The sequence below is a fragment of the Homo sapiens genome, chromosome 1, assembly GCF_000001405.40.
Source record: "Homo sapiens chromosome 1, GRCh38.p14 Primary Assembly".
NCBI lineage: Eukaryota > Metazoa > Chordata > Mammalia > Primates > Hominidae > Homo > Homo sapiens.
The window spans coordinates 168,713,284-168,729,452 of NC_000001.11; the positions used below are offsets into that span (position 1 = coordinate 168,713,284).

Here is a 16,169-nt window from a genome sequence, read left to right on the forward strand (position 1 = left end):
TTACTATCGGTCCTTACTTTAAAAAGAAAAACGTTAAGCTTTTGGGGCTTTGTATCCCTAGAGATACTGTGTGCCACTGGGCATCTGTGGAGTAAGCTGTCTGATTGCAGAGAATAAGCATGACCTGTGAAGCTGTCCTTGCAAGCATCAAACTGTAGAGAGATCAATCACTTGAGGGAGCCAACCTTCACATGTTGACACTTCTGGATCCCCTTGCCCAAGGCAGAAATGCCTGGCTCATTTTCAGATTAAAAAAACCTGGGCCGGTTGTGTTATCAACACCCAGTGTAAGTCATCAGGGCAAATGACAATATACACATTCTCCTAGTCAATTGGAAGGCTAGGTCAGGAGATATTCGGCATGAGCCCAGGGATAGGGAAAGAAACAAAACATCAGAGGCTGGAATTCCAAATGGATCCAGAAAACAGCACAATCTTTTTTTTTAATTTTTTAATTTTTTAATATTTTATTTTTTCTGTCTATAACTATGTACTAGACTCTGACCCATGAGAGGATTGGTTTCTCCCAGAGAAAGACTACAGGAAACTAGGTTCCCAAATAGGCCCTGCAGCCTTGGATATGATGAGAAGTTACCAGAAGTTGGGGAGAAGGAGAACAGCACTGGGATGGGAGTCATTAGGCCTAAGCTTAAGACTTGGCATTCCCACAGAGTAGGTGGGTGACTTTGGGCCAGTCAGTGCCGGCTCTATGGTTCTGTTTCCTTTTCTGCCAAAAGAAGGATGTGGGGGGTTGGATAACCTGAAAGATCCCTCTTGGCGGGAACATCCTCCTAAGTCATTCATTCATTCTTGTCTATATGCCAGCGCTGCCTTCCAGGCTTGTGTGTGACCCTCAAGCTTACCTGAAGCTAGAGCACTTCCTAGGTGCCTCTCCCACCCCAGGAGTCATGAGGGTTTGGTCGGCTGCCAGACTCACCAGCAGGAATATGGGCACCTCTTGCTGTAGCGACAACAGTAAAACTGCCACTCCCGATCCAGCACTGACTCGAAGTAGCGGCTCTGGAATCCTGCCACCAGCCCATTGTTGGAGCACGTCTGGTACCTGAAGAGAAGACAACCCCAGGAACCTAAGAACAGTGACACATACACAGACCCCTTCCCAAGACCCCACTGCCACAGTTACACACTCTTTCTCTGACCTAGATTCTTAACAATTTATTCCATTTTATGCAAATAATAGTCTTTATTATATTTGTAGAAATAACATAGCCCCTCCATTAAAATTTAAGTGACTCAGAATTTTCTAACTGAACAAAATTTAGGGAACACTGCCCCTGTCATACCTCTTTCAATATATATTGTTAGATGGAAGCCTGCATAAATGGGTGGATCTAGAATTTTACATCTAGAATTTTACAAATTCGAGATTGTATTATTCATGCCATTTAAAATAAAAGGTATTATAATTCATTTTACTGGAATTTAAAATAAAAAGAAGACAAAGAGAAGCACAACGTATTGATGAATTTCAAATAAACATTTCTTCTGCCTAAGAGAAGAGCCCTGGAAATTGAGCACAAGGATGATCATTCGTTCTGCCCCTGCACAGCATGCAAAGCCCAGATGGGCATGGTGAATGTGCCCAGGGCAGCCCAGTAGGAAAGCTGGGACCACAACCCAGATTCTTCCTACTTATCCAGGAATCTTTCTACCACCCACAAGACCATAAGCTCTACACAGCCATGGCATGTTTTTCTCAGAATTCTATTCCTGGTGGCCACCAAGAATCCTGGCTGTGGAGGCAGTCCTTACAGAGTTGCAACAGGCCAACTGAATGCCTCAAACCCCCTCTAAAGATCCCTTTCCTGTCCTAGCTGCTTAGTCCTAATTCTTCAAATATATAACCGCTCCACTCCAGTCCACAGACAAGAAATAATTTTTGCTCTTTCATTCTACCTGTGCTGCTGCTGGTCTTCACAGCACCTTTTGAACTAAACATTGACTTAGAATAGTACAATCATTTCTTCCTTTGTTCCATCTCTAGTATGATTTTCTCCCATTCCTGGGCCCAATTCCTATGGCGTCTTCAGGCTTCCCACTTTTTGCTGTGATGATAACACTATTTTCTACCTGACCACAGTGGATTTCCACTGTTCTTGCTACTTATCCAGGAATCTTTCCACCACCCACAAGACCATAAGCTCTACACAGTCAGGGCATTTCCACTGTTCTTGCTACTTATCCAGGATCTAGAATTTTACATCTAGAATTTTACAAATTCAAGATTGTATTATGCATGTCATTTAAAATAAAAGATATTATAATTCATTTTACTGGAATTTAAAATAAAAAGAAGACAAAGAGAAGCACAATGTATTGACGAATTTCAAATAAACATTTCTTCTGCTTAACAGCAGAGCCCTGGAAATTGAGCACAAGGATGATCATTTGTTCTGCCCCCACACAGCATGCAAAGCCCAGATGGGTATGGTGAGCCATGGCCCTTTGATGAAATCCAGTGGATTTCCACCTTATAGCATGAGCTCTTTCACAAACCCTTCCAAAATAGTTCTTCAGTTACCTCTCCTTCTTTGCATTTCCCACCATCCCAGCCATTGGTCTATCCCCTCTTATGAGTGGGCAGAGCCAGAGCAGGCAGTTGTCTATGTGCATGGCCAGACAGCTGCTGGAATGCAACCTTGTATTTCATGGGAAGATAAGTTTTCAGAAAATATAATGCATAAAGTAAGTACCGTGTGCTGACTGGTGAGAGAGGCCTTGTTGACACACAAATTGTAACATTATCAACAAGTGGATTTCATTTATTCTTTTCCATTGCTGAAAATGAACTTGCAGATCTAACAAAATTAGATATTAAATATATTACTTGTCTGTCATCAGAAATCATCCGTCCTTTTAAATTTATTATTTATTACTTGTTATTCATTTATTCACCTAATGTATATAATTCAAATATGCATTTATTTATTTATTTATTTATTCATTCATTTATTAAACATCTCATACTCTACTACTGTTCTGTATCAATCACTTTGCTATTATGTTGTGAGAAGAATTGAGAGATGGGCTCGGTATTCGGTCAACCATGTAAATTAGCTTGAATTCCCTGTTCCCAGGACTTGTAAGAAGTTCTGGCAGACTAGAAAACTCAGCTATAGGGGCTCAGTAATGCAGGTTAAGGTGTAAATTGAGACCTATGGCTCTTTGATGATCTAGCTTTTTTTTTTTGGTATGTGCAACTGTGTAGTTTATTATACATGTATCTAGGTTTTACAATTTTCTTTTATTTTACTTTAAGTTCCGGGATACAAGTACAGAATGTACAGGTTTATTACATAGGTATATGTGTGCCATTGTGGTTTGCTGCACCTATCAACCTGTCATCTAGGTTTTAAGGCCCGCATGCATTAGCTATTTGTCCTAATGCTCTCCCTCTCCTCACACTCTACCCCCGACTGGTCCCAGTGTGTGTTGTTCCCCTCCCTGTGTCAATGTGTTCTCATTGTTCAACTTCCACTTATGAGTGAGAGCATTCACTGTTTGGTTTTCTGTTCCTGTGTTAGTTTGCTGAGGATGATGGCTTCTAGCTTCATCCATGTCCCTGCAAAGGACATGATCTCATTCATTTTTATGGCTACATAGTATTCCATGGTGTATATGTACCACATTTGCTTTATCCAGTCTATCACGGATGGGCATTTGGGTTGGTTCCATGTCTTTGTTATTGCAAATAGTGCTGCAGTAAACATACCTGTGCATGTGTCTTTACAGTAGAATAATTTATAGTCCTTTGGGTATATACCCATTAATGGGATTGTTGGGTCAAATGGTATTTCTTGTTCTAGATCCTTGAGGAATCACCACATTGCCTTCTACAATGGTTGAACTAATTTACATTCCGACCAACAGTGTAAAAGAATTCCTATTTCTTCACAGCCTCGCCAGCATCTGTTGGTTCTTGGCTTTTTAATAAACACCATTTTGACTGGCATGAGATGGTATCTTATTGTGGTTTTGATTTGCATTTCTCTAATGATCAGTGAGGTTGAGCTTTTTTTCATATGTTTGTTGGCCACATAAATGTCTTCTTTTGAGAAGTGTCTGGTCATATACTTTGTCCACTTTTTGATGGGATTGTTTCTTCTTTTCTTGTAAATTTGTTTAATTTCCTTGTAGATTCTGGATGTTAGACCTTTGTCAGATGGGTAGTTTGCAAAAATATTCTCCCATTCAGTAGGTTGCCTGTTCACTCTGATGATAGTTCCTTTTGGTATGCACATGCTCTTTAGTTCAATTAGATCCCATTTGTCAATTTTAGCTTTTGTTGCAATTGCTTTTGGTGTTTTTTATTATGAAGTCTTTGTCCATGCCTGTGTCCTGAATGGTGTTGTCTAGGTTTTCTTCTGGGGTTTTTATGGTTTTGGGTTTTTACCTTTAAGTCTTTAATTAATCTTGAGTTAATTTTTGTATAAGGTGTAAGGAAGGGGTCCAGTTTCAGTTTTCTGCATATGACTGATGTAGCCTTCTTCATTCTACCATTGCTCGCATCTCATCAGGAGTATACTAATCACTTTGTAAATGCCTGGCATACTTCAGCAAGCTATATGAGTGGAATGGACTAGGCTCATGATATGGTGGAAAGGTAGCTTTAGGGGCTGATCTACCAGGGTGTTCTATTCTATCCTAATTCTTAGTAAAGTAGGTGAGAGGTAATTTCAATATGAAGCTCTAAGAATCATAAGCAAAACTCATATGTGTCCAAAAAGAGAAGGTTGCCATAAGCTAGTGCTCTCTGTGACCTGTTCTCCTACCATCACTAAAATGCTGCCTTCCTCTAAAACAAAGCCCTTTCAGAACTGAGCTGGGCTGTGGTTTCCACGGAGTTGTTGTTCCATTGTTTTGGCTTGTCTTCTGTACTCAGACCCCTATAGGGGACAGAGCTCCCATGGGGGTAAGTTCCCCTAAGTAAAAATAAATGTAGGAAGATAAGCCGAACTGTTTCATGGAGTACCAGTTCTGAAGGCAATCCAAGTTCCACAAATTCCCCGCCAGCTGTTGGCCAGGCTGCTGGCCCCAGTGCCTGTACGGGAAGTGTGTGTCACTTTCTCACACACCACCTCAGATAACTCTGCCCTGTGAAGATTATTTGGACCCTACAGACTCAGAGCCTAAGAACATATAGTGAAAGTTAGATAACCAAACATAACCCTCCTCCTCCGGCTTTGGTTTGATTGCCTTCACATTTTGGTAGAGTCAGCCTGTTCAGGAGTTTGGTATGTGAAAGCATTCCTTCCAGAGCCGGATCTTTGTGGGGGTACCTTTTCACACTGTGGGGAGCAGATAGTAGAGTGGCCAAGAGCATTGGCTATGCTGCTGGATGGCTCCACTGTTCTTAGCTGTATCATCTGGGCGGGTTTCGTGCCCTCTAATAGCCTCAGTTTCCTCATCTGTAAAATGGGCATAATAATAGCACATATGTATTAAAGTTATCGTGAAGACCAAATAAGACAACGCATGTAAAATTCCTGGGATTAATAAATTGCTTATTAGTGTCATTATACTTATGTTTAGTCTACACAGTAATTATGAGTCTACTTTGTAAAAGCTGTCCCTTGGCTCCCCTGTCTCTAATCAGTAAAACACTGGTGGATTCATAGGCCCTCCCTGAGCTGCTGTTTCCCTAAAACAAAGCTCAATGAGGTTGGATGTCTTAGCCACCCACTTTGGAGCACAGGTACTTTAGTATGCCTTACCACTCTCAGGAAGTAGTATTCCATGCAGTGTCTGACATTGTTGTCCAGCAAATGTTTAATAGAAGAATGAGGGACCGAATGAGTGACCCGACTATGTCCCATTATTGGAGGCAGAATTGACTTTTAAGAGCTCATCACTCAATTCCATTAAGGGCCCTGAAACTCCCTCCAAGTAGTTTACATGGATCTTGGGTGAGCAATCCCTTTTCTTGCTTCCGTTCTCTCCCTGCAGCTCCATGATGAGGGGGCAAAATAAATATAGCTTTGGGCATTCCTCTCCTCCATTCCTCTCATTTTCACTTTTAACAAAGCTCCTTATTTAACAAGACTCACCTAAACACTGGCCATAGCTGCAGGATTACAAACACAGAGCTAGGTGAGAAGAGAGGCAACTTCTAAATGGAACAGGACTGGGGGAACTGTCAGGGATTGCATTGCTAAAGTTACTCAAACTCAATTTCAAAAGAGATGGGTAGCGGTCAAATGACTAATGCTCTGACTCACTTCACAGCACCTGGTTGTTGCTCCTGAATGGCCTGGAGAACAGGGCAGTGGCTCAATGCTCTATTCCGCTTGGAGGGAAACTACTTGGAGGGAGTTTCAGGCCCCTTCATGGATGTGAGTGAGGAGTTCCTAACAGTCACCAATACGATGGCTAATATCCTGGTGAATTGTATAACATGACCGCAGCTCTAAGGAAATAAGACTATTTCCTTAGAGCAGGAGGGCACTGGTACCTTACTTACAAGACTCTCCTTCCCATCTGAGAAGACATACTTTTTTTTTTTCTTACCACCTCTTTGAAGGCTGAGGTTCAATTTCAGTTTCAGAAACTGGAGTATTGTTAGCCCTGCTCCATCTGAAACTGGAAGCTTTCTAGAAGGAAAGTCACAAGGTAATTACTCCTCCTCTGAAAACACATTTGTGAACCTATTCTGAGAAAGTGGACTTTCTGAAAATGATTTATCTCAGGGTCATCACCCTGAAAGCTAAAACGGAAGACTTTCTCCTGTATCTGCAATAGTAAAACATAACAGCAGTGGGGTGCAGGGGAAAGAGCCCTTGTTGAGGAATCAGCAGACATGAGTTCTAGTCCTAGCCCTGACCTTTACATGCTTTGTGGAGCCTCACCTAAGGCACTGTGTGGAGTCAGTGATAATGCCTACAAAACTCTCGGCCAAGAGAGTAACTGGAAGAGCCAGGACCCAACTCAGATTCATCTGAGGTCAAAGCTCATGTTCATGAGCTCTCAAGAAATATAATAAATCTCTTCGAGATGGTCCCACAGCTCTGATTGGTATGCTGGACAGGACTTCTTCTTGTTGTCTGCATTCTTTACCAAGTCCAAAGCTATTGGACAGGCAGAATTACAGAGCATTTGCAAGGTGTGTGAGTGTCTGGTTTTGTTGGTGAACCCCTCTATACAATTTTAGAAGTTGGACTTGCTAAGAAGTTTGGACTTTAGGTGGTGTGGTGTGGGGTTGAGTCAAGTGATGAACAAGGTAAAAGGAAGCAGCACCATCTTGGTCAAGAACTCTCAAAATTTCATTAAATAGATAATAGATGGGCTGGTTGTGCTGGTCTTTTTTTTCCCAGCTTCACAGACACACAGGTGTTTCAAGGGCTGTTAGCCAGTTTCCAACCCCACTGCAGAGATGGACTATGAGAAGTTTTGCCCATGATCTAGACAAGTGGCTCACTCCATGTGGCACAGCATCCTTAACACTCCCAAATTTCTTTCCCGCCCCAAAGGTGGATGAGGTCTTAAATAGTACCAAAAGAGTTTCTTTCTTTTAGAGTAAAGCTTTGATTTTTGTTAATTCTATTTTCCCCAGAATAATTCTTTGAGTTGCTATCAGGCATTTATAAAAAGGCCCACAGAATTTTAGAATGTTCATTAAGTCTTTTGACAAATATTCACTAGAACTTACTCTATACCTGATGCTGCACTTGGTCTGGAATCTCTTCAGAAGACTGGTACTGATAAGTAAACACTATGACATTGGACAGGCAGAATTACCAGACACTGTAACTGATAAGCAGACACTATGATAATACAGATACTGGAAATAAGTAGACTGGTACCAAAGACAGAGGAGCAGAGAAATAGGAGAGTGGTTGGGGACAGTGGAGCAGTGAAGTGGCAAGGGACAGAGACAAACACAGTTGGGGGCAAGTTTGCCCAGTAAAAGAAGCCTTCAAAGTTCTGGATTTCTCTGCTAATTCCAAACAGAATTGTTCCATGACCCATCTCTCCCCTTCTGCTGATATTTATACCTACTTCTGTAAAACTAGGATGACAGTTCTTAACCTGACAGTATTACACAAAAACTAAAGAGATGCTATATATCAAGTGTAGCATAGAACCTGGCACAACGTATATAATTGAAAGGCAGGGGAAGTCATAGTTATTACTACCATGATGATAAAAGTACCTGTAATCTGATAGAAAGACAGGCTACATCCTAGTCACGAAACATCACTTTCAGTAAATATTGGAGCCTACATTAGAAATTGTCAGGATTGAACTTCTCCAATTAGACACTGAGAGGAGCCTCAGAAAGCACATATCAGAGCACAAAAGGCAATACCAAGCCTCTCCTCCTTCAAAGATCCTTCCTTTCTTGACAATTCCAAATCATACTAACTTTCCTTCCTTGTGACATGTTGATATCACCATTACACATTTCACCTAACACATACTGTCACTGAGTAGCCTCATGGGGCTACAATGCAAAGTTTTTGAACACTGCACCGTTTACTGCTCATCCTCCTGCCACCATGGTGGGGATATGAACAGTCTCTTTAAATAGTGTTAAGTTGCACACATTCTGCTCTCTTCCTGCCTGCATCTGGGTAAGAATTCTGCTGTCTTCTCCATGTCCAGGTTTTAAGTCTGCTAGTCTGTCTACAAGGTTTTAACAGTGAAGCAGAAATGACCTGCAGAACAGCATCTCTGGATAGAAAGACCTAGCACAGGACAGAGCGAGAATGCCTCCAAAAATACAAATTCCTCAGGTTTTTTTGGAAAAATACAGGCAGGAGAGGCTTCCCCTAAGGCCTCTGAGAAGATCTAGATTATCTTGTGAGATGCATTTATGTCCTGAGAGCAATTCCAGGTCACACAGGAATTGCATGAGCTACATTAGCATCACAGTAAATTTGACGTGAGTTTATGAATATCAATTATAATATTTTTAAACAAGAGATCTAATGCTATCTCCGTGTCTATTAAAATGTAATAAATATTCAAGACACTTATAATGTACACATAATATTTATAGACTGTGATTAAATTATATGTTCCAAAAGCAAAATGATATATTTCAGAGGCTCTGTAATCTAGCAATTTGGTTTTCAACTCCAGCTTTGTAATTTACCAACTGTGTGATACTTGTCTCCATGAGTCTCAGTTTACACAGAGTAGTCATGATAAAGTAATAATAAATAACCTTTATCAAGGACTTGCAATGTGCAGGCATTGTGCTTAGCACTATGCGTGCATTAATTATTTTAATTATCAAAACAATCCTATAAAATGGGTTCAAATAATGAGCTTCTCACCACGATCACCATTTTACGTATAAGGAAACTTAGGTTTAGAGAAGGTAAGTAATTCCCCTAAGGACACAAGTTAATGTACATATATTATCTTATTTAATTCTCACAACAACAGTTCTAGGGAGGTGTGTTTTAGTTGTGAAAGCTGAGTATTTCGGAGTTGAGACGACTTGAGTAAAGGTAGTAGTGGGGTCAGTGGGGCTGCATTTTGAGAATTGTTCTGACTCTAAACTTCATTAACTTTTCAATACTTCAAGATCCCTCAAAGAAACACACACACACACACACACACACACACACACACGATATCTTAACTCTGCAGAAATCTCTTATTGATTGAGAAGATTGTGTCCTGCAGGTTCCCAGACAGAAGCAAATCCCCTCCTGGGAGGAGGGAGCTTTTGCCATCCTTACAAGAGCAGCCAACAACCATTTTTGCAGAGCTCAAGTTCCCCCAGACAATTGATTCCTAGCACTTAGGAGAGTGACCTAGATGGAAAGTTGGCAAGAATCCTAGATCTGTCATAACCCTATTCTCCCACACTCAGCCTTCTTGCCCTCAGAAGTCATCCTTAGGTGGATTTGATATCTTTTTTAGGTCAGCACTCACTATGGCTTTATCCAGGAACAAAAATAACATCAGCATTTCATATCACCCACAGCACTGTGGAATCAGGCTGGCTGGCTCAGGTCCTCCGTCTGCCATCTGCTAGCCATGCAAGGGCAACCTCCTCATGTGTGAAACACCTGGATTCCAATACTGTTGTGAAGATCAAACAATATTAGCTTTTGAATAACTCATGGGCATAGACTGTATGTTATTCATCTCCATCTTCCTGGGGCCTGGGAAAGTTTGTGCTAATAAGCATTTGGTAGTGAATGAATAAACAAATGAACATATAAATGAGGAATACTCTATAAATCATAAATCACCACGTAGATCAGGGTTAGGGCCATAGAACCTATACTTATGTAAAGTTATGGATTTCTCTCCTAATTCCAAACAGAATTGCTCCATGACCCATCTCTCCCCTTCTACTGATATTTATATCTACTTTTGTAAAAAGAGGATGACAGTTCCTAACCTGACAGCAATGTTTTTATTCAGTTTTTAATTGCTTCAGTCTCATGGCCTTTATTCCTATTCTGTGAGGTAAGGAGGTTGCTCTAGATTGTGCCCAAGACCCCCTCCAGTGCTGGAATTCCACGATTCTGTTGTACTATATTTGTGCTGCATCCTTATATTTATTTTTTTAAATTTTATTTTGAAGTAATTTCAGATTTACAGAATGCTTGTAAAGACAGCACACAAAATTCATGTATACTCTTCACCCAGGTTCCTCTAATGTTAATTTTCATAACTCTAGAGTGTCTAGGAATGCTAAGAAATGCTAAGAAATTAACCTTGGTATAACACCAAACTGATTTCATCAGTTCTTCCACAAATGTCAAACCAGGATAGGTTACTGTGCAGCATTTAGCCCTTATGGCTTTTGAAATAAAGAGTTTACTTTCAATTTTTGAAATTGATCGAGACCTTAAGATTATTGAGAGAATGAAAACCTGATAAAAACTTCATTCTGCGGCGGCAAAGTGTGTCAGCCATCCTCTGTGCATGTTTTAGCGATCCTTAAGAAATCTTGAAAGACCATCCTGCATGTTGGTAAATGCAATAAATCAAAATGAGATGTGAACAATACAGTTGGAACCCCTACTATAGACACTGGAATATTGGGAATCAAAGACATAAGCAAAATGGTTCCCCTGTGGGAAAACCTGCAGGCCTCCTTGCGGAGGGCCGTGGGGACACTGGCTGGGGTTTGGACTGCTGATTTGGTCTTTCACTGCATATGTATTGAGGGCCTGTTATGTACCAGCACTTGTCTAGGCACTGGGGATACAGTGGTGAATGAGACAAAGCCCCTGTGTTCATGAAGCTTATATTTTAGTGAGGGAGACAAAACAAGAAACAAATGCCAATCAGGTAGTGACAAGGGCATTGTAGGAAACAAAGCAGGCTGAGGGAGTGGAGACAGCGAGATGTGTGGGGAGAGGAGGTGGTCTTGGAAAGCATCCCCGAGGAAGTGGGCCCTGTGAGTACTCAATACTCAGAACCATGACTCAGGACGACTGCCCTGAACTACACTGAGGCTTGGTCTTGCTTAGATTAGGGAAATAGTCCGACCATGGAAAACGGAGTTCCCACCCAACCTCTCCACCTTCAAATGCACCTCGATGCTGCCATAGCCCTGTTGCATAGATTCTTTCTCCTCTTCTCCAGTCTGTGGCTTGTCATTGAATTCATAAACTCAGCTCTAACACAAACTGCCACTCCAAAACTTCTCCTTGAGATTCTTTGAAGCCCGGGGTAAAAAGTAGATACCAATAAATGGACCACTTTTCCTCTGAACTCAGACTCCGTGGAAAGCTGGCTTGCCCAACATCAGCCACATCAATTTCAGATTCACTAAACTTTTACTACCTGCCCATGATGTGCTAGGCATTTGTTTTAGACTTCAATTTGCTTTAGAGTTTTCTTATACTTTATCCTACAAGTATCACAGTAACACAAGTAGCAGCTTGTGAGGTGGGAGTCACACCTTCCTTTTTCTTCCTTTGCTTTTCTTTCCTTTCCATTCCTTTCCTTTCCTTTCCTTTCCTTTCCTTTCCTTTCTCTTTCCCTTCCTTTCTTCCTTCCTTCTTTCCTTCCTTCCTTCAATCCTTCCTTCCTCCCTCCCTCCCTTCCTTCTCTCTCTCTCTTTCTTTCTTTCTTCTCTTTCTTTTTTGCCAGAATGAGATACCGAATGTCACAGATACAAGCAGGAGCTGTGAATCCAGGTTTCCTGCATCCAAGCCCAGGGCTCCTTCCGCTACACAGTAGCTCAATCTCACTAGAAAATTTCACCTTCATCTTATTCCACACAGGACCCAGTGCCCTACAGCCTGTGCTGACCCAAGTTAGAGCAGATTCCCTGAGAACAACCTAGGCATGCCCTGGGATGGTGAAATACCACTCATGGGGACCCAGGTAAGGCCTCCTGGTAGTTGTTAGTGCCAGAGACCATCATCCAAACTTCAGAAGCCGGCACTTGAAGAGGTGATTTTCAACAGAGAAACTGTGATCAATGGCAGCACCACAGACCACTCAGCTATGATGGCAACACCTTTTAAAGATGGCACTTTGATTAGAAAGATTTTCTTTTTAGCAGATCCTATGTGCTATTGTCAAGCCTATATTCGAGACTCCTCCCCTCTTTTAAAATAAACCTGAAAGCTAATTTGGTTATACAAGGCAGCCCAACTGCACAAAACCATCAACAACTGTTCCCTGAGAACAGACTAAGCCTGTAGCCAACGTCAGATGTAATAGCTCCCCAGCCCATAAGCAATTTCTTTCCTTACAGATTTTTCACTGAGACTGGAGGCTGAACTCAAAGGCATAATCATTTTTAAAAGTGCTTCCAGGGTAATTCGTGTCAGTCCTGGGGCAGCTGGATCTTATTGTAAAGAAGTTGTTTTGCATGTTTGTGAGTTTTCAACCCTGTGATTAGTAGACGGGGAGAAGGAGGCAACAGAGGGTGGAAGGAGGAAAGGAAACCAAAATTACTAGACACTGCACACCCAAAAATGCCGAGTAAGAGGAGGTGGAAGAGGTATCTCGCCTATCAGCTTTTCCCTTGACTCCCATGGGCCAAATAAAATCATGTTATTTCACCTTCTTCCTCTTTTGCTTTTCTTCAAATAGTTTGGGAGTTCATGACAAACCAGTCACAGTTGGCAAGTTTAAAACTAAACATCATTTGGCTTCTCTCTCTAGCAGGGATGAACACAAAGATCAACAGAATGCAAGAAAAAGCCAAGAGTGTTTTCAGGGGTGAGCCACAGCTCTGTGGAGCCTTCAGAGATCATGCAGCCTGACTGCTCACTTTCCAAATGAGGCGGGAGACTGGAGGGCTGAGCGTCTGGGCCAAGGTCACACCACAAGTCATTAGAACCAGGATCCAGACCCAGGCCTCCTGATTCAGAGCCTAGGGCTCTTCCTCTATGGCTTGGGGAACCATGGCTGAGTGCTGCTTGACTGTGGCACAAAAAACGGCTGTTAGAAAGGAGTCGCACCCATGCGATAGTGCTCCTGAGAGGTGAGGACTGGAGGGACAGTTGTAATTAGGTCATTGCCATGCTCCACATTAGGCAGTGGGCCTGGCTGTGAGGAGTCATGGAGACAACAATCAAGGTGAGCCTGGTCTCTGAATCAGCATCTGTCAGAAGGGGTTTTGAATAACTAAATCTGCTCACCAGAGGCCATGGGGGTGGATGAGAATGGCCCACAAAGGCTGTCCAAGCAGCCTCCACAGCCCCGGCACCCTCACCTGCTGCTGCCTGTGTGAGTCCTCTCCCCACCCCTTCTACAGTCCGGCTGAGCCCCTCCACAGTCCTGGTAACCAAGTAGGGATCATCCCTCTGGGGCTGGGCTTCTGCTGTGGTCTTGCAGGTCCCCACCCTCTCCAGGAGGAAGAACTGCCCTGAATCTGGTCCTGTGGCACTGGCTCTGCTGACAGAGTCAGCTGTCGGGTGGGAGCCCACTCTGGGTGGAGGCAGCAGCCTCTCAGGAGCCCGTCACTGTGGCAAAGTACAAACTCTTTGAAGCAAAGACTCTGTGGATCCAAACCCCAGCTTTCTAGCCGAGGAAATACTGGATCTCTAGACTGCAGTTTGTCTACCTATAAATGGGATATACCCTTGTTTTGAGCATTACACGAGATGATCCACATAAAGCACTTAGCATGGAGCCTGCTCAGGGTAAGCACTCAATAAATGGTAGCTGTTGTCATTACTTAAAGGCCCGCTCTCTTTCCTGGCTCCCCCACCCATCGGTGTTTCTTCCTCTTGGATTTCCCATCATCACCTCTCTACTGGTTGTGTCCCCCAGGGTTCTATGCTTTTTCTTTTTTCTATTTTCTTTTTTTTTTTTTTTTGAGGCAGAGTCTTGCTCTGCCACCCAGGAGGGAATACAGTGGTGCGAGCATGGCTCACTGCAGCCTCGACTCCCTGGGCTCAAGTGATCCTCCTACCTTAGCCTCCTGAGTAGCTGGGACCACAGGCTGCATGCAACTACACCGGGCTAATTTTTTTTTTTCTGTAGAGATAGGGTCTGGCTGTGTTCCCTAGGCTGGTCTCGAACTCTTGATCTCAAGTGATCCTCCCTCCCCAGCCTCCCAAAGTGTTTGGGATTACAGGCGTGAGCCACCACACCTGGCCAGATTTTGTGCTTGACCCCTCCAATCCCCACTACACTAAGTACTTGTTGCCACACATCTGGGTTGCTCTACAGATAGCACATGCAGCAGCCCTCCAGGTGGGCTTCCTCCTCCCTGGACTGCCTCCTCCGTTCTCTCCTCCAAGCCTCCTAGAGTGCTGGCTCCATCTAGGCTGTTGTAAATAATCAGCCTAGCAGTCAGTGCCTACTAGGATGAGCTCCTGACCAAGCACCTGGGCTGAGACCCAGCTGAGACAATCACACCCCACAAAAAAGTACAAGCTCGAAAAAATTCCATGCCACTGCTTAAGGCAGAATGCAGTCAGGGGAAGACAGCACCTCTCTCCAAAACCCTTTAGTAAACTATTTTCCAGCAATAAAACCCACTTTAAATTCAGGCAGAGAGAAGGACCTCAGTACTCATAATTGAGAGAGCACATTTAATCAAGGCAGTAGACAGCTATTTAATTCCACTTTCTTTTGCCTAAATGTCCTTGTCCCCTCTTTTCCATTCACTTGCTCTAAATCAATAGTTCTCAAACCCTCCGTGCTGAGAGATCAATTGTTTATTTTTCTTGTTCCCAAACTACTGTGGGCCAGTACTTTTGTAAAATGGTAAAAATAAATTTCTAAAAAAGAAAAATGCCATTCCGATGGCACAGAAAGTTTTAATTTCTATAAAGTTTATTACTTTCAGTTTCTGTACATATCTTTTGGTAGTCTGGTAAGCAAGCTTCTCGCCGACCTACACCAGCCCCTGGCCCAAACTGAGAGTAGGTAGAACAGCTTCTGGAAGGAACAGAGCCACAGAGGAGTCTGTCTCCCACAGACACTCCCCATCCCAGGTTTTTGTCCTGTCATGTAGTCCGCTCAGCAGCAGCCCTGCTCCACCCAGAGCATGCAGTGGTGAGGTTTGGGGTGGGATTTGCCCAGGCTTTGGTTACTGATATTCCTTGAGAGTCTAGCAGCCCCCAGGAGGAGGGATATGCAGAGATGTTCCCAGCCCCAGTGCAGTGCAGGGACTGGCCCTTACCATTCCATGCCAGCCCTGTTGATCTCCTCCCACCAGCACTCCGTGGGTTCCCCGAGGCTCTGTGGCGTGGGCATGCAGGCGTAGTTCCATTGTCTGTCAGAACCTTCCTTCTTGCTGAAGATGCTCCTCACGGCCACTATCACCTGCCCCTGGGGACACTGGTAGCTGAAGCCTTGCCGGTTCAAATTCACCCACCCATCATCGCTGTAGTCATGATACTGCTGGTATGGGTATCCATAATCGCCATACTGGCCCCAGGCCATGGTGACTAGGGGCAGAAGTACCCAGAGAAGACTGAGGTCCATGCTGCCTGGGATTTTGGCAAACAATGTCACTCTAAGATTGCTGGTCTGACCGTTTTATATAGCTGCCGCTGACATGTGGCTTCCAGATGTGGGTGAGAAGGATCCAACTGCAGTGTGTCATTGCTTAAGCAAAACTTTTCCATGCTGAGATGTCAGCCATAAGGACATTCAGCTTGTTTTAAGGTGGAATTCTAGGAATATACCAGCAGCATGTAAGTCTAAGAAGCTCCCTGGAGAAAGAACAACTTTGTATCTAGATTATAAAAGCCAACTGCTGC

The 16,169-nt window shown here is 43.2% G+C and overlaps 1 protein-coding gene across 1 annotated transcript in view; it reads right to left on the minus strand.

Annotated features, from left to right (window-relative positions):
- Positions 1–15,923, minus strand: part of DPT (dermatopontin) — a 33,739-nt gene extending 17,816 nt beyond the window's left edge. The window contains exons 1-2 of the mRNA NM_001937.5: positions 15,587–15,923; positions 938–1,063 (exon numbers count right to left, since the gene is read on the minus strand). Of these exons, the coding sequence (NP_001928.2) occupies positions 938–1,063; positions 15,587–15,891 (431 nt within the window). The 5' untranslated portion in view covers positions 15,892–15,923. The remainder of the gene's footprint in view (positions 1–937; positions 1,064–15,586) is intronic.
- Between the last annotated feature and the right edge of the window lie 246 nt (positions 15,924–16,169).